At 41.6% G+C, this 19,760-nt stretch overlaps 1 protein-coding gene across 2 annotated transcripts in view, besides 2 other annotated features; it reads left to right on the top strand.

Moving 5' to 3' along the window:
- The window catches only part of UTP25 (UTP25 small subunit processome component), a 29,594-nt gene continuing 11,016 nt past the window's right edge, over positions 1,183-19,760 (top strand). Inside the window, exons 1-11 of one of the 2 annotated variants that reach the window (NM_014388.7) lie at positions 1,183-1,381; positions 3,319-3,358; positions 4,014-4,254; positions 6,396-6,569; positions 8,286-8,374; positions 10,012-10,422; positions 12,120-12,339; positions 14,064-14,266; positions 15,476-15,658; positions 15,794-15,906; positions 16,662-16,907. In NM_014388.7, the coding sequence (NP_055203.4) occupies positions 1,275-1,381; positions 3,319-3,358; positions 4,014-4,254; positions 6,396-6,569; positions 8,286-8,374; positions 10,012-10,422; positions 12,120-12,339; positions 14,064-14,266; positions 15,476-15,658; positions 15,794-15,906; positions 16,662-16,907 (2,027 nt within the window). In that variant the 5' untranslated portion in view covers positions 1,183-1,274. The remainder of the gene's footprint in view (positions 1,382-3,318; positions 3,359-4,013; positions 4,255-6,395; positions 6,570-8,285; positions 8,375-10,011; positions 10,423-12,119; positions 12,340-14,063; positions 14,267-15,475; positions 15,659-15,793; positions 15,907-16,661; positions 16,908-19,760) is intronic. The other variant, XM_006711275.4, reaches the window with a different exon arrangement.
- Positions 1,223-1,272: an enhancer, noted in NCBI's record as "active region_2477". NCBI's record gives its function as "activates an Ori minimal core promoter by ATAC-STARR-seq in GM12878 lymphoblastoid cells {active_cell/tissue: GM12878}" and the evidence as "EXISTENCE:reporter gene assay evidence [ECO:0000049][PMID:35858748]".
- Positions 13,015-13,309: an enhancer, noted in NCBI's record as "tiled region #1786; HepG2 Activating non-DNase unmatched - State 15:Elon". NCBI's record gives its function as "activates a minimal TATA promoter and a strong SV40 promoter by Sharpr-MPRA in HepG2 cells {active_cell/tissue: HepG2}" and the evidence as "EXISTENCE:reporter gene assay evidence [ECO:0000049][PMID:27701403]".

Raw genomic sequence — 19,760 nt, forward strand, 5'->3', positions numbered from 1 at the left:
TAAAATTCACCCATTTTAACTGTACAGTTTAACTTTTCTTATGTATACAAGGTGTAACTACTAGCATGATCAAAATGTAAGATGGTTCCTTTACCTTCAAAAGCTTTTCCATCCCCTTTTGTCCGAGTTCAGTTATGAGACACTGGATTGGGTTTCACAGCCTTTTCTAGCATTGACTGGGGTGATTTCAGTAAAGTCACTTTACCTCTCTAGATGTGTTTCTGCTGTTGTTAAATGGGGAATGCTGGAACAGATTTGTTTGCGGGGACTCTTCCAATACTTTCAGAAAATGCGAGAATAGGGTGAGGGTGGGAATCTCAGACTTGTGGGCCCCATGATTGATATAACACACACAGGCGGCAGACCCTAATGGGTAAAAGCATGTGGTTGCATCAGTTAAGGTTTTTCTCTCTTCTCTTGCTAGCGTGTTATCTTTTCTTTTCTTTTCTTCTTTTTTTTTTTTTTCGAGATGGAGTCTAGCTTTTGTCGCCCAGGCTGGAGTAGGCTGGAGTGCAGTGGAGTGATCTCGGCTCATTGCAACCTCCACCTCCCGGGTTCCAGCGATTCTCCTGCCTCACCTCCTGAGTAGCTGGGATTACAGGCGCCCGCTACCACGCCCGGCTGATTTTTGTACTTTTAGTAGAGACGGGGTTTCACCATGTTTGGCCATGCTGGTCTCGAACTCCTGACCTCAGGTGATCCGCCCATCTCGGCCTCCCAAAGTGTTGAGATTACAGGCGTGAGCCACCGCGCCCGGCCGCTAGCGTGTTATCTTTTCTAAGCATCAGTTTCCTTATCTGCAACACCAGGCTTATTAACAAGACCTATCTGTACACTGTTGTGGTGATGAAGTGAGATGTTCAGGCACCCTTAAATGTTGGTTGATATTTTTATTGCAGTATACTGTAAAGTCACTGCATTCGACTATCTCCGCTACTACACATTTACGCAGACTGATTTCCATAACCAAAACACAAGCACAAAGCTCATGCCCCCGACTCACGCAACCCGGGAAGCCCAGCTGCCCACGTTCTAGGGCTCTGAGAACACTAGTGAACGAACTCCCGTGCTTTCAAAGAGCTGCGGTAGGGGGCAGAACCGGGAACCGGATGTTCTAAGCCTGTCGTACGAGCGCGACGTAAAGCGGATCTGCTTTATGGCACCTTGCTTTCGCCGTAAAGCGCAGTCAGCGAGCCCACGTGCTTGTGTTGACTGGACAACTTCCTGGTGGAAAACCGCGACTCTTGCAAGTGGGCAAACTTGACGTTTTCGCTATGGGCAAACGCGGGAGCCGGAGCCAGAGCCAGCTACTCAACACCCTAACTAAAAAGCAGAAGAAACATCTTCGAGATTTCGGCGAGGAGCATCCCTTCTATGACAGGTCTGAAGGGGCGTGGCAGGGCTCCCCAGTCGCCAGAGATGTATCCTCGAGTTTGGTCCTCTGGTCTCCCAGATAGTGCTGCTCCGGCCTTTTCCCACTATTCCCTGGCTCCCGCTGTGCTCGGCCGGGGAGATTCTGGCGCCATCCCGCCGGGAGATGGAGTGCTTCACGGGCCTTTTTGTTGAGCCTGTAATTTCCTGCTAAGAGGCACGCCCGTTGTGTGGGGGAGGATTTTTTTTTTTTTTTTAAGACGGTGTTTCGCTCTGTCGCCCAGGCTGGAGTGCAATGGCGCGATCTTGGCTCACTGCAACCTCTGTCTCCTCCCGGGTTCAAGCGATGCTCCTGCCTCAGCCTCCCGTGTAGCTGGGATTACAGGCGCCCGCCACCAAGCCCGGCTGATTTTTTGTATTTTTAGTAGAGATGGGGTTTCACCATGTTGGCCAGGCTGGTCTTGAACTCCTGACCTCAGGTGATCCACCCACCTCGGCCTCCCAAAGTGCTGGGATTACAGGCGTGAGCCACCGCGCCCAGCTATGGGGGCGGATTTTTGTGTGGTCAGAGATCTAGGAATTTTTTGTAGACACACATATATATATGTATATATATAATTTTTTTTTTTTAAGACAGAGTCTCGCTTTGTCGCCCAGGCTGGAGTGCAGTGGCGCGATCTCAGCTCACTGCAACCTCCGTCTCCCGGGCTTAAGCGATTCTCCTGCCTCAGCTTCCCGTGTAGCTGGGATTACAGGCGCCCGCCATCACACCCGATCAATTTTTTGTATTTTTAGTTGAGACGGGGTTTCACCATGTTAGCTAGGGTGGTCTCGAACTACTGACCTCGGGTGATCTGCCCGCCTTGGCCTCCCAAAGTGCTGGAATTACAGGCGTGAACCACCGCGCTTGGCCTGTTTTTATAATTATTTTTAACTTACATAAAATGATTGTACATATTTGTGGGATACAGTGTGATATTTTGATAACAATACATGTACCCAATGTGTAATGATCAAATCCGGGTAATTAGCATATTCATCATCTCAAACATCAATTCTTTGCGTTGGGAACATTGAAAATCCGCTCTTCTAGCCATTTGAAAATATACAATAAATTGTTAGTTATAGTCACATCATATGTTGTGTGTGTTTTTAAAGAATTTGTTGGGACATCATTGATCTTTGCAATTACGATAAGGAACTAAGTGTATTAGTAGTTGTGGTTTCTCTAGAAATGTCTAGGTGCAGTTATGATCTCAATGCTCATCCCACTACTTTGGGCTGCTTTGTCATCAGTTAGGGACATTCTTTTTTTCTTTTCTTTTCTTTTTTCTTTTTTTTGAGGCAGGGTCTCACTTCGTTGCCCAGGTTGGAATCCAGTGCTGCAATCCTGGCTCACTGCAGCCACCACCTCCTGGGCTCAAGCGGTCCTCCTGCCTCAGCCTTCCCAGTAGCCGAGACTACAGGTGCACAACACAACTCCGGGCTAATTTTTCTTATTTTTTTGTAGAGACAGGGTCTCCGTATGTTACCCAGGTTGGTCTCAAACTCCTGGGCTCAAGTGATTCTCCCACCTTGGCCTCCTAAAGTGCTGGGATTCCAGATATGAGCCACCGCTCCCAGCTTAGAGGGACATTCTAATTAAGAAATTTGCTAGAAAAACATGAACCCCGAAATCTTTTATTTAGCCAAGTTGTATCCTTCTTTTGGATGAGAGCCTTGTGTGACTCTAGGGTTTGTCATGTGACCTCCTTAAACTTTTCATTTGTCAGTTATTAACCATATTCTTGCCAGCCCTGCCCAAGTGCATGTGTAATTTTTGCATGACTATATCTAAAATGTATTTATAATGTTATATTCTGCCTTTTTCATTTAACATCTCATTTGACCTTTTCCTAATTTCTACATACTAGTAGTTAGAATGTAACATTGCCTGTTTCTTTTTAGGGTTTCCAGAAAGGAAGCAAAGCCACAGATTTGTCAACTGGTAATGCTTTCTACCTTCTTTTTAATAGTTGGTTTTGGGTTGTTCCCACTAAGATTATATCTAATAATAAAGCTTGATTACATTTCTATTCCTTTTGATTTCAGATGCAAGCTATTATTTTGGCAGTATCACTTAATTTTAAATGCAGATGTCTATAAAAATGCCATTGTGATATCTAATACAGAAGCCACAGTTTGAAATTGTCCCAGGAGACTAGCCTATTAGGCCCTGTTACAGAGGCTTATCAGAGGGCTCTTAGTGAATCCTAAGAGGGAATATCTTTTTTGGTTAGCATAAAGGAGTCACAAATACAGTGCAAAATGAACAAAGGGCCTATCATATTACAACAAACTAAAAAAAAAAAAAAAGAAACCTGTTTTCTTTTGTTGTTTTGTAATTATCCTGTTGTTCTATTAAACCTGTGGCCTAATGCCTGGGACATAAATTAAATCTCATAACCTGAAGTTTTATGTTTTAAAAGTGGGGCAGTAGCAGTTTGGAGCATATGAAGAGCTTCTAGAATCATAGCTAGATTAGCAATTTTAAGTAAATTTGAATTTGGGCTTCGTTGAATAGATGTTGGCTTGATGATAGTTTTAGGGTAACAATAAGAACAATATAGTTTTTGTTCTTAAAATTCTCCTTTTCCTTTTAGTCAGAGAGTTCAGATTCTTCAGATTCTGAAAGCGACTCAGAGAGTGAACCACAACAAGTTTCTGGCTACCACAGACTACTTGCTACATTAAAGAATGTTTCTGAGGAAGAAGAGGAAGATGAGGAGGAGGAAGAGGAAGAAGACAGTATTGTAGATGATGCAGAAATGAACGATGAAGATGGTGGTAGCGATGTCAGTGTGGAAGAAGAGATGGCTGCAGAGTCTACTGAAAGTCCAGAGAGTAAGTGTCTTTACTATAGGCTCATCATCTTTGCCAGAACTATAGACAGTTCATCTCATGAGCATGGTACCTTATATACTGTGTGAGTTGGATGAAAGGACATGAATCCAAAATAGGGATTTACCCTTGTTGGGTTTGATTGTATCTTTGAGAATCTGATGGAAACACAGAACCTTCTTAGCACAGCTAGGCAGAAATAACATTTTTGCTTGTAATTTCAGGGACTTCATCAGTACTAGTGAAAGACCTCCTAATACAGAGGAAGGAGAACACAGTTCTGTCTTTGTGACTGTCTGAATTTATTGAAGAGGTTACTGTTCTTCTCTTAGGGAGACCAAGTTTGATGGAAGATAGACATAAATATATATAAAAAATTTCAAACAGTAGATTTGCGATTGCATGGAACAGCTAGATGTAAGGTGTTGAAGAGAGGCAGAGTGGTTGAACACTGCCAGTGTAAATTAGGGAAGGCTTCAGGGACTCTGTGTCACTCAGACTTGAAGGTGACTTTTTTCTTTAACTTCAAAATCACCTTCATTGAGGTATCATTTACATACAGTAAAACGTATCCAATTTAAATATACAGTCTGACAGGTTTTGACAAAGGTATACATCCAAATCAAGATACAGAACATTTCCATTACCTCCAAAAATTTTTCTTATCCTTTTGCAGTCAGTTCCCCACCCTTGGCATCAGGCAGCCACTGACCCGCCTTCTGTCACTGTAGATTAGTTTTGCCTGTTCTAGAAATTCATATAAATTGAATCATACAGTATGACTCCTTTTGTGTCTAGCTATTTTTGCTTCTCATGTTTTTCTAATTTATTTGTGTTGTGCATGTATTAGTCACTTACTACTTTTTAGTTGCTGGAATAGCATTCCATTGTCTGAATATAGCTGGGTGACTTTTTACTCATTATTTTAATGCCTATTTTTCTTATAGCCTTATTTTTTTTTTATACCTTCTGGTATTATATATCATTCCAGGTATTTTAACTGATCAGTTTTACTGAGATAAAAATTCATTGACTTACACTTAGGAGTTTGTTTTGTTTGTTTCTATTTTTCTTTGCTTTTTTGGATTTTTAAAAATGAAAATTTTTTTATCATTATAAAAATAATATATATTTACTGTAAACATTTAAGAGGGTAATATAGTTACCCTCTATCCCTGCTACCCAGAGATAAACACCTTTAGCATTGTATATAACCTTTCAGACTACATTTTTATGATTATATATGAGTATGTATATATATTTATGTGTATCTGTATAATGGCCTTATACATTTCCGTAACTTCCTACATCTGTGACTGTGGATTCACATTAGCTTCTTAATTACATAGTATTCCATTGTAAAAATATGATTGTACCCCATTGATAGACCCTTTTTCCCCCAGTTATTTCTTATAATCAGTGCTGCTTTGAACATCCTCTCATGTACATCTTAGTGTACTATGTCTGGTTACTATTTTAGAATAAGTTCCTAGAACTAGAAGTGGGTATATTAATTCGAAATCTCCAGAGAAACAGAACCGGTAGGATATGTGTGTATATGAGAAAGAGATCTGGCTCACGCCTGTAATCCCAACACTTTGGGAGGCTGAGGCAGGCAGATCGATTGAGCTTAGGAGTTTGAGACCAGCCTGGCCAACATGGCGAAACCCCATCTCTACAGAAAAATACAAAAATTAGCCAGGCATGGTGGTGCATGCCTGTAGTTTCAGCTACTCGGGAGCCTGAGGTGGAAAAATCACTTGAGCCCAAGAGGTGGAGGTTGCAGTGAGCCAAGATGACACCACTGCACTGCAGCCTGGGTGACAGAGCCAGACCCTGTCTCAATATATAAATAAATAAATAAACGCTCATCCAAAAATACCCTCGCAGAAACATCCAAAATAATGTTTGGCCAGATATCTGGGCACTGTGTCCCAGCCAAATTGAGACATAAAACCCACCATCATGCATCATGTGTTGATGATTAGGCTTAATTTTGAAATCTATGTTTTCTACCTGAATTTACCTAAATATAAATAGTATCAATGAACGCTATTGTTGGTATAGCCTAAGGAAATAAATTTTGTCAACAGAAGTATAATTTGTGAGTAAATAATTTTATAAAATGTTTCTCAAAACTGCAGATGTAGCTTTATCTGCTGACCCTGAGGGAAAAGAAGATGGGGAAGAGCCACCGGGCACATCACAAACATCCCCCGAAGAGTTCACAGATGCAAAACACGAGTCACTGTTCAGCCTGGAAACCAATTTTCTGGAAGAGGAAAGTGGAGACAACTCTTCTTTGAAAGCCTCTCAAGGTCATAGCACAGTGTGTGTTATTTGAATTCACCAGGTGCTTAGTATGGAATTTGTGTACTAATACACATTGAATCTATTATTGGAACAAACAGCAATAAAAACAGTTTAGTGGCTAGATCTAGAGCTGGGAAAAATAATTCTAAAAGGTATTTTGTGTTTCTCAGTGTTTAGGGGTTGGACGGGACATTTAGGAGAACAAACAAGAATGATGGTAGGGAAGGCCAGCTTCCCAGGCCTCACATTTTCATTATTGGAGTCAGGGGAAGATTTCTGATTTTCTCCCCAAGTAGGGAAAGAGAAAGAAAAAGAGGAAAAAATACTTCCTCTACCCCTCACTTGCTGTTCCTTTTTGGAGCAGTAATTTTTCAGATTTGCAAGACCCAGGGGTGGCTAATCTGAGTGGTCTTTATTACCAGGGAGACCCTCAAAAGCCAAAAAGCCCTACCCTGTGTCTCCTGCCTCCCACAGACTCTTGACCACTCCTGTGACCAAATGGCAGTCACGTGGTCAAGACGTGCCTATGGCGGGCTTTGATGGGTTCCTGCTGTCTCAAGTCCAGTTTCTCAGCCAGTGTCTGGGTGGGCAAGTCAGGTTGGTCTCGTTCTGTATCCTGATTGCCTTCATTGATCTCATTGCCATTCTTCAACCCAGCTTTACCTTTAATGAAACAGAAATTTTAATCCTCATTTGACTCATTTAGTTCTGTTGGTTATTTTGCAGGAGAAGAAGTGACAGGTAGAATTTGTAGATTTTAGTACAAACTCCATTCTGAACCATTAAAACTTAGAAACTTTGGAGGAAACATTAGGAAGCTTGACTGTCCCATAATTTCTGTGGTTGTTTTGCTCATACAGATATATTAGCATCTAGAATTCTTATGTCCTGTTGTTCACTCTTAGATATTTAATACAAGATGCATTTCATTTGAAATTTTACTGTTTGGATGCTTGGATGGGTCATTTAACTTTGTTCTGTTTCTTATGAGTGGGACTGGGAGAGAAGGTTGGGTGGCTAGCTCAGAATACTAAAGATTACTTGGAGTGCAGATGCTATCATGTGGATCATTTGTTCAATTCAGTGGAGTATTGGTCATATCTGTGTGTCCCAGTGCAAGATCAATCAGACATGGAACCTGTTCTTAGAGACCTTGCAGTCTGCTAGATAAGACATGTATATATGTATATGTGTTGGAATGGGTGGGTTGGGCAGAGTAGGAGACTTGAGAAAGTGATGACTCTAGGGAACAAGGTGAGCCAACGTTGTGCCTAACACAGTAAGCCTGGGAAGTATTTATTGTGATTCAGTGGGTAACATTAAATTGATAACATTTGGATATGCAAAAATGAAGTGAAGGAGAGGCTGGAATTTTTAGTTGAAGGAAGGAAAAGCACAGAGGCAGAAGAATTTGAGGGCCATATAGTCCAGAAATGATAACGGAGATGCAGGTTGGAGGTATATCCTAAAGTGCTCTGAATTCCAGGCTGAGAAGTTTCTTCAAAAGTTTTCAAGCTGGGAAGTAATATAATTAGAGAAATGTTTTAGGAAAATGAACCTTTCAGAAGTTTTTAAGCTCTGGACTTGGCCAGAGGGTGGGGAAAGTCAATGGAGAAAAGGATGAGTTAACACAATGAAGATCAACATGTCTTTCACAGGGGAAGACCACAAAACCCCTCTGTAGTTGCATAGTGTGCTGACATTTTTTATTTCTGAATTAGATCCATTTCTTCAACATGTGAACAAAGAACTGAAAGAAAAAGCAATTCAGGCTGTTGCCACAAATCCCAAAACTACCCACGAGCTTAAAGTAAGTGTTGCTTGGTCATCCCGGTCACAAATAGAGAAAGCTCTAAATAAAACAGTGGTCTTGGGTTTTAGTGGCCTCCCAGAATGTATGATATACACCTGCAGTAGATGGCTTGATAGGGAAGCAGGGCATAAGGAAGGCTAGAAGAGCCTAGTGGGGCACAGTTGTAGCTAGAAAACGCACCAGGAAGCTGGAGTGTGGGTGCCAGATAATATAATGATGGGTAAGAGTGGATTTGGAGACCAACATCTTCAAGGAGCTATCACATTTTGACCCAAGGCAAGTTCATCTGCTTTTTTGCTATTCACTATTCTAGTCTGCTAGAGGGGGATAATAATACCTATCTCAAAATAGAATAGTTTACTAATACATAGTGTTCAGTAAAACAGTGTTCATTAAAACAGTAGGTACTACTGTTGTTCATTTGTTTGAAATATCTGAGGTAGGTCCACAAATAAATTATCCAGATATTGGGCAGTTTTTGCTTCTTTGTTCTTACCACTGATGCCATTCATGAGAGTTGGTCATCCTTTTTTTAATTGAAATTTTTATTGAGGGAATAATTATAGATATACATGCAGTTGTAAGAAATCATACAAAGACATCTTGTACCCTTTGCCCAGTTTTCCTCAGTGGTGAAATCTTGTAGAACTGTAGTATAATGTCACAGCCAGGAAACTGACATTGATATAATCTACCAGTCTTACTCAGATCTGGTTTTACTCCTGTTCAACTGCATATGCCTGTGCCTATATTTATATACAATTTTATCATGCATAGGTTCCTGTATCTACTCCTGCCATCAAGATGCAGAACATTTCCAGCAAAATACAAATCCTTGTTGCCCTTTTATAACCATATCTGCCTCCCTCTGCACCCTGCCCCACCCCCATTTCTAACCCCTGGTAACCACTAATCTGGTCTCCATTTCTATAATTTTGTCATTTTAAAAATGTTAAATGACTCATACAGCATGTAACCTTTTGAGATTGTTTTTTTTTCACTCAGCATGATTCCCTGGAGAGTCATCCAAGTTATTTCAGCTATCAGTAATTTATTTCTTTTTATTGCTGAGGTTGTCCTATTTTTAGATCAGCAATTTAGCTATAATGCAAAAATTCTTAAACTTGTATCCCACAAAATAGAAAATAGTATTCCTTAGGATTTAAACAAAATGGACAGATTTCTTGTCATAGAACTTGTCAACACCTTTAGTATCGAGTGTACATTGTCAATCTCCCTCAGAGGAATTAAGTTTTGTGATGTTTATCAAGGGTATTTGACCATGGAACCCCTTTGTTTCTAGAATGAATGTTGACTCTTCCCAGAATATATTCCACAGAACAGTGTGGGACAACTGATAGGGTGAAGAGCTCAGATTTGAAGTCAGAAACCTTGGGGTCTAGCCCTCAGCTCCATTTTCTTCTGTGTAAACTTTGTATCATACAACCTCTGTATGAACCTCAGTGCTTCCTAAACTATAACATGAGTATCATGGTAACTACCTTGCAGGGCTGTTGTGAGGATTAAATGAGATGATCTATAAATCATGAAAAAATTCGCTAAATATAGTACTATGTGAATGTAATTTACTGTTATTCATTTCTAATTTGGCTCTTGATCTGTTTCTCCCCTAGTGGCCTATTCTGGGCCAGCTTTTCTTTTCCTCTAAGTTTCAGAAGTTGGAAACATTTAAACCCCCAAAGGATATTGACTTAAAGTCACTTCATCTCCAGAAGCCTCTGGAATCCACCTGGACTAAGACCAACAGCCAGTTCCTATCTGGTCCCCAAAAATCAAGCAGCCCATTCACCCCCCTCCAGAAAGAACTCTTCTTAATTATGAATTCTTACCGGGACCTGTTCTACCCGGAAAGGACTGCTCTGAAGAACGGGGAAGAGATCCGCCATGTGTATTGCCTGCATGTGATAAATCACATCCTCAAAGCCAATGCCCAGGTGCTTGGCAACAATAGCAGACGCCGAAGCCAGAAGTTTGGAGTGGGTGATGATGATGACTTCAGAGACCAAGGGTTAACAAGGCCCAAGGTGAGTCCAGCAGGAAAGCTTTGCTCTCGAGGAGGTGGCTGCAAGGCACTGCCATAGAGGTGCCTGACACTTAGCAGGAACTTGGGTATTTTAATAATTGACTGGCATAATGAATGAGCCCAAATGTGAGCATATTAAGTAGGCCAGGTAGTGTCAGAGCAGCACTGCAGCAGCTTAGTGGGCTGTTTCTGACAGTGGATGTAGCTGGAAACTTGCGAGAAGGAGGCACTTCATGACACTTTCCTTAAAGATAAACCCAGAGTATATAAATAAAACTCCATTATAAATCTCTTCTTTGTGGTTGTCAAAGCTGGATGGGACCTTAATGAGCCTTTTATCCAATCCCTCCATATTACAGCTGTGGACAACCCCAAATTCGTAGAAATTCATAGAGGGCCTTGCTAAAGAGAACCAGGGAAAGAATAGCAGAGATGAGACAAGAACCATAGATTCTCTTCACTAAGCCACATACATACGTCAGCCTTTGAAAGCAAAAATTTACATTTGCCACTGTAAAGTTATTGCTGCTTAAAGTGATGCGTTTGTATTCATAAGTCTAAGCTCTAGTGGATTTGAGGCCTTAACAGGAAATGGCTTTCAATTTTATCTACATTATTCATGATGTTATAGAACCAGGACTTGTCCCCCTGCCCTGAACTGCATCTCTCCGTATTGAAGAAGCCTCATCTTTTTAGAATTTTCTCATTGAGTTTAATAGGATTCTAGAAATTTGATACTAATGTGGCCTTTAGAGATTTCTTAGTCAAACTCCCTTGTGTAATAGCGGGGGAAACCAAAGCCCCGACGCTTACTGTCACCGCTGGAACAATAACCCAGTCCTCTTAAATCTTGGTCCACCATCTCTGCAACTGTACCAAGCTGAGTCCACTGCACTCCTTGGGGCTTGAACATCAGGGTTATAAGGTTGTTTCCATTTAGAATTACATAGAAGAATAAGAGGCAGATTATCTATGAAACATATTATAATTTGGTGAATTACGTGATTTAACTGGGGTTATGTCCATTGTTTACAATAGGAAATTAGAAATTAACCATTTTTTAAGCATCTTCGGTTTTTATTCTCAACAGTAACTTTAAATATTTTTGAATATGCTTAGAAAGCTGAGTCCTGTTTTTCCCATTAATTGTGGTCATTTTTTTTTAGAAATGCTTTATTGTCATTTCTGAAACACTGTATAGAGAATGCACTAGAAATGTAATGATGTGTTAATCCTTTTTCTTACCCGCTTTATTTCTTCTCTACTTGTTCCATTTATTTATTCGACATGTATTTATTCACTGTGTCTTTAGGATAAAAATATTGCACTAATTCTGTGGGAGACACAGAAATCTTTCCCTCAAAGAGCTCATGTGTTTATGTCCTTGAGTTTTTACTGGTAGACGTATCTGTTAGAGGCATTGGCTTATTGTAAAAGGTATTTCCAAATTCTGCTTGAGAAATGTCTCACGTGGACTGATGGGTCTGAAGTCCGCAGGTCATGGTGCTGGGGTTATGAAAGGTGCTCAGTTTCTGGTGTTGAGCCAAGCCCTGCGCAAAGCGGGTAACATAGGTATGTTTCTTGGCTGGGGGCCACTGCTCTACATGGAGCTTTTTAGCTCCACTTCCTCAGCAGTTTCACCTCAAGATCCTGTTCCTTCCTCTTACCCCACTAAGGCTGCTGTTGCTGTCTGCACAGGTACTGATAGTGGTGCCATTCCGGGAAGCTGCTTTGCGGGTGGTGCAGCTCTTCATCAGCCTCCTCGAGGGTGACAGCAAGAAGAAAATCATTGTGAGCAACAAAAAGAGGTTTCAGGGAGAATATGGATCAGATCCCGAGGAGAGACCACCCAACTTGAAGAGGCCTGAGGATTATGAAGCCGTATTTGTGGGCAATATTGATGACCACTTCAGGATTGGTAATTCTTCCTTATCAACTTTGAGACCTAAAGTGTGAAGGTCTACATAGCTGGAGACCAGAAGCTGGAATTAGATATTTTCCCAGTGGATCACTCACTGTGCCTCTTTAACAGAACCAGTGTGCCTTTGAGACATGTTGTTTGCCATGGGAGAGTCTTGCCTTGGCTAATGGGGTGGACATTAGGCCAGTGGAGTCGGGAGGATCTCTGAGGCCATATATGAAAGGCACATGTACATTTATAACAGAAATTTATAGCAAGTTTATAACAGAAGTGTGAAAGCACACCCATAGCTGGTAGCAGATAGATGCTACAAGGGGTTCTCTAGGATGTTGGAAGTGATGGGGCTGATGGGGTCATTCTGGGGAGGCTGAATAAAATGACTGTCTCTACATAAAGGTGGACTTTCTCCTGTGTGCTACATAGATGCCTACCCTGAATAATCTCCACACATGACTTCCACCCAAATTTTCACATTTTTGCTTGTCTCTCATTCAGCTCCCATTGACTTTGGTTGGTTATACCTTTTATAGAGTAAAGTTCTTGGGGAAATGTTCATTAGTCACATATGCTCATTCACAAATACTTATTGAGTATCTACAGTGTGCCAGGCACTGTTAAGAAGCTGGGAATCTACAGATAAATATAGAAATAAAAGTTATAGTTCCCATTGCTAAGGAAATCCAGCCTACGACAGAGCAGGCAGTGCAGGATATGTGTGCAACGGTTGTTCTCGGAGCATTTAAAGCAAACCCCCTTACCCAAAATGGGGGCAGGGTGGTTAGGGAAGATGTCGTGGTGGAGGTGTCATCTGTACTAGGTGGAAACCTGTGTAGGATTCAGCCAGTTTCAAAGGGAGGTGGCTGAGTGGAGGAAAACATTTCAGACAGGAAACTGCCTGTTGCAGAGGCATCAGGGTGACTAAGCTTGGAATGACCTATGATTCACACAGGCTTCGGTATGGTGGAATGTAAGGCATAAGGAGACAAGAGCTCGTGTTTTGTTTGGAACATATATAGCTGTCCAGGAAGCAGTTGGTATATTGTTCTGGAGCTCAGGAAAAAGATATGGGCTGGAAATACACATTTGTGTGAAGGTGACATTAAAGCCATGATCAGTGAGTCAGTTAACCCAAAGCTTTATGCAGCACGAGAGCAGAGCTGACAAGTGAATCCACCAGTTTGCAGAAGAGTTATTTGGATCTGGAAGGACAGACAAGGGCCAGGTCAGTGATAGAAGCAAAAGTGAGAGTTGAAGTCATGGAAACTATTAGCAAGGAAAAGAGCATTGCAAGGCAGCTGTTAGTACATTCTGTGCCGTTTGTACTTTCCTCATAAGAAGCTCTCAAAAGTGTTCATCCTGTTGGTGACTGAGGACTGTGGGGACCTTAGCAAGAGTCATTTCTCTGGAGTCCTGAGAATCAGAGGCCGGATTGCAGTGGAGTGAGAAGTGAAGGAGAGATTTGAAAGTAGAGAGAATTCTCTGGAGCAGTTTGATAGTGACGGAAAGGAAGAGAAGGTAGAAGCTAGAAGGGACTATAGATGCAAGGGAGAGATTTCTCTTGTTCTTATGTTTTAATAATTAAAGCAGTTGAGCACAGTTACATGCTAAGAGGAACAAAAGAGATGTGGAAGCAATAGAAGTGGTGGACTGCTTTGAGAGGGTGGAAGGTAATGGCTTGGTAGTGACTAATGAATTGGTGTGTACTTGGCTGTTTTGTGTAGGAGTGGCAATACTTCAGAGAAGCATCCGACTCTATGCCCCGTTTTACTCCTCGGATATCCTCATTGCTTCCCCCCTGGGCTTGAGGACCATCATTGGTGGAGAAGGAGAGAAGAAGAGAGATTTTGACTTTCTGTCTTCTATCGAGCTTCTCATCATTGATCAAGCTGACATTTACCTGATGCAGAACTGGGAGCATGTCCTGGTAATGCTGGCCATTCACATTCAGTGGGACAGTATTCATATTTAGAGGGATAAGACACCCAGTGGTTTAAGTCCTAAAGAATTATTTAAGTCCAGATTAGAACTCTTGTTTGGAAGCAAGGACACACACTCCACATTTTCTAATTTGAAAAAGTCTTTTGTCCCCTTTTCTACCCAGAGATTGTCCATAATTAAACTGTCTACAGATTAAAATTCCTGTCAGTCATTTTCAAATCTCCAGAAAAGATTTCTTTCCCTTAAAATTTCTTTCTACTAACTTTAGGGTGGGTGGATGGGTGGATGGGATAGGTTGATGGATGGATGGGTCCTCACCAGGAACATCTTTACCTAACATAATCCCACATGTGGTTTTTGCTTATGCTGTTTTGTTTGGTCTTTGGTGAAGATGGGAATACCCTGCTCAAGATTTTTTAAGGTGGGATCTTGTTTTGTAGAGAAATATAGGATGTCTTTATTACCCGATGTAATTTGTACTGTAATTTTTTTCTCCTTCTCCACACACTCTGCAGTGTTATCAGTTTTAGGACTGAAAAACTGCTTTGGAACAATCCTTATTTAGGAACTATAGGTTTATTTTTCTAAGGCATATGGGAACTCACCCCTTCTACAACCCCATGTCTTGAAGCTTGCAGGAAGTTTGGGACAAATGAAGGGTAGAACTTACTTCTAAAGTAGGAAATAAATTTATTGTACTCATTACCCTTCAATATCTATTACAAGGTAAAAATATAATTAAAATGGAAAAGGCATTTGGCATAGTCGAGTTATATTCTTAGATTTGAGGAAAAGACAGGGTGACACTGCAACTATTCCTAATGTTTTGAGAACCAGGTAATTGAGGGACAGCAGCTCTGTTTTCCATGGCATTTCCCTTCTTGTCCAAGTCTGGGACTTAGGGACCCATAGAGAGACCAGTGTGGCATTTCAGAAGTTCATTTTAAAGGAACATTCCTGTAGGTACCATTTTGATCATTTGTTAAAATTCCAGGAGGGCCAGTTTTAGCTTATCTCCTCATTGGGGATGTTTGGCTGACCATGGGCAAGTCACTCACCCATGTGAGCCTCAGTTTTCTTGTTATAATTTAGGAGATGATAGTACATGAGTTGATAGACTCGGAAAATGTTTAGCAATGTCCAACATGTAAATGCTCTCAGTCAACACTAATGGTAATATTATTTCCACTCAAAGCATTTGATGAATCACATGAACCTACTACCCCTGGACTCACATGGGGTAGACTTTTCTCGAGTGCGGATGTGGAGCCTCAATAATTGGTCCAAGTACTATCGCCAGACACTGCTATTTGGGGCCCTTCAGGATGCCCAGATCAACTCAGTGTTCAACAAGTACTGTGTCAACATGCAAGGCCAGGTGGGTTCTCGTCTTGTTTCCTCAGTATCTTCATGAGCACTGTTTATTGTTTGGGTCCTGAGGTAGAAGGAGGCGATAGCTTCTGGTCAAGAAGGGGATGGCTGTCCACCTAACGCTCTTGTTGACTACTGGCAGGTGGCCGTGAGGAATGTCCCAATGACAGGCTCTATCAGTCATGTCCTGGTGCAGCTCCCACATGTCTTCCAGAGGATGGAAGCTGAAAACCTAGCTTCAGTGATTGATGCCAGGTAACCCACTCCTCCCAGCAGGCCCCTGGGGACCACATAGAGAGATTTGACTTGGGCATACAAACCTAGAATTGGATTCCATTTTGCTTTTATTGATAACTACCAAATCAGTTGAGATAATTGAACTTAATTATGTCATTTGTCAGAGGAGGAAACTGAAGCACAGAGAGAAATAGTGACTTTGGCCTAGGTCTCATAACTAGTTAGTAGCAGGGTTATTACTATAAATCAGGACTCTTTCACTCTTGACTGTGGCATTTTAAAATTATACAGCTTTATGCTACAAAGTGTCTCATGTCAGCAAGTTAATTGTAAGCCCCTCAGGGAAAGAACTATTTTTCTAATTGTATAATTTCCCCCTTTTTCTTCATTGTGTTTAGTTAGGGGACCCCAAAGAAGCTTAGTGAGGCTTAGTATATGGTAGATGTTCAGTGATTATTTGTTGACTGTTGGACTGAGTGACTGAGTGACTGACTGACTGACTGAATAGTGTGGTGTGTACTTCCTAGAGTAATTCTCTGGGATATAATGGTATTACATCTGTTTTTTACAATGAATAGTGTTGACACTTATTTTTTTAGTGTGCTTATCAAGTTTTATCCTTACATAATCTCTTTGAGAGGAGGTAAATCATATTGGCCTCTGGGGAGGTAATCTTTTAACACGAGATTGTAATTTGCTCAGGGTCACACAGTTAAGAGACACCATAAGCTTAGCTCTAGACATTAATTTTGCCCTTTGCCATTCCAAATCAGGTTTAACTTTTTTGTGAACAAGATTTTGCCACAGTATCGTGATGCAGTCATGTCTCACACGCTCATCTATATCCCCTCCTACTTTGACTTCGTGCGTCTTCGAAATTACTTCAAGAAGGAGGAATTGAATTTTACCCACATCTGCGAGTACACGCAGAAGTCTGGTGTCTCCAGGGCCAGACACTTCTTCCTTCAAGGAGAGAAACAGTTTCTACTTTTCACAGAGCGCTTCCATTTCTACAAAAGGTAAAGTGGTGCCAGGTTTCAAGCCTCCTCTCTGAAGGGGAGGTGCAGGACAAATCATGGCCTGCTCTGAATGCATGGCAGGCTTCGTGGTGTTGAGATCATCCCTCACTCTCGCACTCTTACAAAGTAGCCAGAGAGTTTTTGGTTTGGACAGACTCTTCTTGGTTGGTTAGTTGGTTTTCTCCCAAAATGGGCATTGCTGAAGAAGGATGTAGAAACCAAAGCATACCCTGTCTATAGACCTGGCATGTAGCTGTGGTTATACACTGCAAGAAGGACATTACAGGACAACTCAAATGAATACAAGGAAGGGGAGGGACCTTCCCTGTATTCACTTGAGTTGTCCCTGTCTAGACTTTTTCCCTCTGTTTGCCCTCAGTGCACAGACAAAAGCATTGAGAACTGTGTTTTCTGGGGAGATGGAGGCTGAGTACAGTGTCAGTTTCCAGACAGTTGCGGTGTTCCTGAGGTATGCACAGATACTCCCTACCAAGGAGAACTAGGACCGTGGGCTCCTTGACATTTGCAGGAGGTAAAAGGGTAAGGGCTTCAAGTTGAATGTTGAAGGGTTTCAGCGTTTGCTTAGATTTCCTACCAGGTGACTTTGACAAAATAAGTTGATTGGTCTTCATGTTATTTTTTTAAAAACTCAGGCCAGGTGCAGTGGCTCACACCTGTAATCCCAGCACTTTGGGAGGCCAAGGCAGGCGAATCACCTGTGGTCAGGAGTTCAAGACCATCCCGGCTAACATGGTGAAACCCCGTTTCTACTAAAAATATAAAAAATTAGTTGAGCGTGGTGGTGTGTGCCTATAATCCCAGCTACTCGGGAGGCTGAGGCAGGAGAATAGCTTGAACCCGGGAGGCAGAGGTTGCAGTTAGCTGAGATCGTGCCATTGCACTCCAGCTTGGGCAACAAGAGCGAAACTCCATCTCAAAAAAAAAAAAAAAAAAAAAAACCAACTCTAATTAGAGGGTTAGTAATACTGAGCCTTCTATTACTGTTTGGGATAGTGGCGGCCCTTCTGGCCCTAGAGCTCATGTATTTTATTGTTTTGCTAAGTCTCTCTCTGTTGATAAATAGAAAAAGCTTTTTTATTTTTTAGATTTTTATTTTCAATTTTCATGGTTGCATAATATGTAAAAGGCTTTTTTTAACCCTTGCCTGTAGAGTTATGTAAATTACATTCTGTTACCTCATCCTGATTTCACAATAATGTCCAGTGGATTTAAGTTCTGACTTTACTGTTTTATTAACTCACAATGGGTGCATTTTCTCAGAGAATCCTAAACAGATACGCCAGAAATCTCCCAAGCTTTGGAGCACATTAGATGATGCACTTTGGCATTGCATTACCTTTTAGTTTATGCTAAAACGATTAGGATGGTGCTCCCCAGATAACGTCCTTGTTCCCAGGATGGGGAGGGAGGCGTCCCAGCAGCTTGCCTAGGCATAGCAAAGCTGGCATGGCATGACCTCTTAGAGAGTTGAGGATTGATTAAATTTGTGTTTCCCAGGCTCCATTCTTGGCTACCCAGAGAAGGCTGCTTGGCCAAAGAGTGTTAATGAATGCCTGCTTGTTGCCCTCATTATTTGCTCTGTTCCAGTAAGTTGTCGTTTCCATTCATGTTGGAAAGTATTTGGGGAAGTTGCACTCATCAGGTCTTAAAAGCTCTTAGCTTTCTATCATCTTGACAAATGAAAGCAAGCCCTTTAAGTGAAGTGGATGGATTGGAAAACTTCCCAGTGTGATTGTCTATGGCAACTGTGAATTAAGCTGGGATGGGAATTAAGCTCTTTAATATCTCAGCAGCTTTTCAAGGACAGGGCATGGAGCCCTTTGTAAGCAGGACAGTCTCCTGTATTACACTGTCTATTTACCAAGCCATGTTGCCCTCAAAGTCACGATAAGGACAAATCTCAGCATATGCCATTTGCTTTATGCCCTGGGCCAGGTTAATTGGTGTTTCTTTTGTAGAAGATGAATGAAAATAATGTGCTTTAGAGTTCTGCAACAGCTAATTATCTCAAGGTTTCCAGCTATAGAATTTTTTGCTCGAGAGATCACCAAGGTGATGATGGATGTTTTGGTGTGCAGTGCCTTTGTGATTTTTTTTTTTTTAATTTGACCTTAGAATAAGTACTTTTTTTTTCTTTTTCTTTTTCTTTTTTTTTTTTTAAGACAGTCTCACTTTGTTGCTCAGGCTGGAGTGCAGTGGTGTGATCTCGGCCCGCTGCAGCGTCTGCCTCTTGGGTTCAAGCAATTCTCGTGACTCAGCCTCCTGAGTAGCTGGGATTACAGAATTGCATCACCACGCCTGGCTGATTTTTGTATTTTTAGTAGACGAGGTTTTGCCATGTTGGCCAGGCTGGTCTTGAACTCCTGGCCTCATGTGATCTGCGCACTTCAGCCTCCCAAGAAGTGTTGGGGTTACAGGCATGAGCCACCGTGCCCGGCCAGAAAATGTACATGTATTTTATATTGTAGTATCTGACTCTGTTTTTATATTCTCTATGACAGCTGGCAATGTTAGGAAGATTAGAATTCATTTTTGAGTTAGCAAAAATTTTTTAACCTGAAGATTTGTTTTATGTGGGGAAGATTAAACTAGCAGAATCTTAGAATTGGATGAACATTTGGTCATGATTGCCCTCCCAGTGATGGGTCACAGCTCTTTTCCAGTGCGTTATCAGTGGGTTTCCACAGCAGGGAGGATCTCAACCAGGAGGCAAGTCAGAAACTGGAGGTGGGATTTGTGGAGTTTGGAAAGGCTGCTGGGAATTTCTGATTACTCCCTTCCCCTACAGGAGAATCCCAGTTCTAGAAGTAGTAGACTTGGTCTTTATGGACC

Source organism: Homo sapiens, chromosome 1 (assembly GCF_000001405.40).
Source record: "Homo sapiens chromosome 1, GRCh38.p14 Primary Assembly".
Classification (NCBI taxonomy): domain Eukaryota; kingdom Metazoa; phylum Chordata; class Mammalia; order Primates; family Hominidae; genus Homo; species Homo sapiens.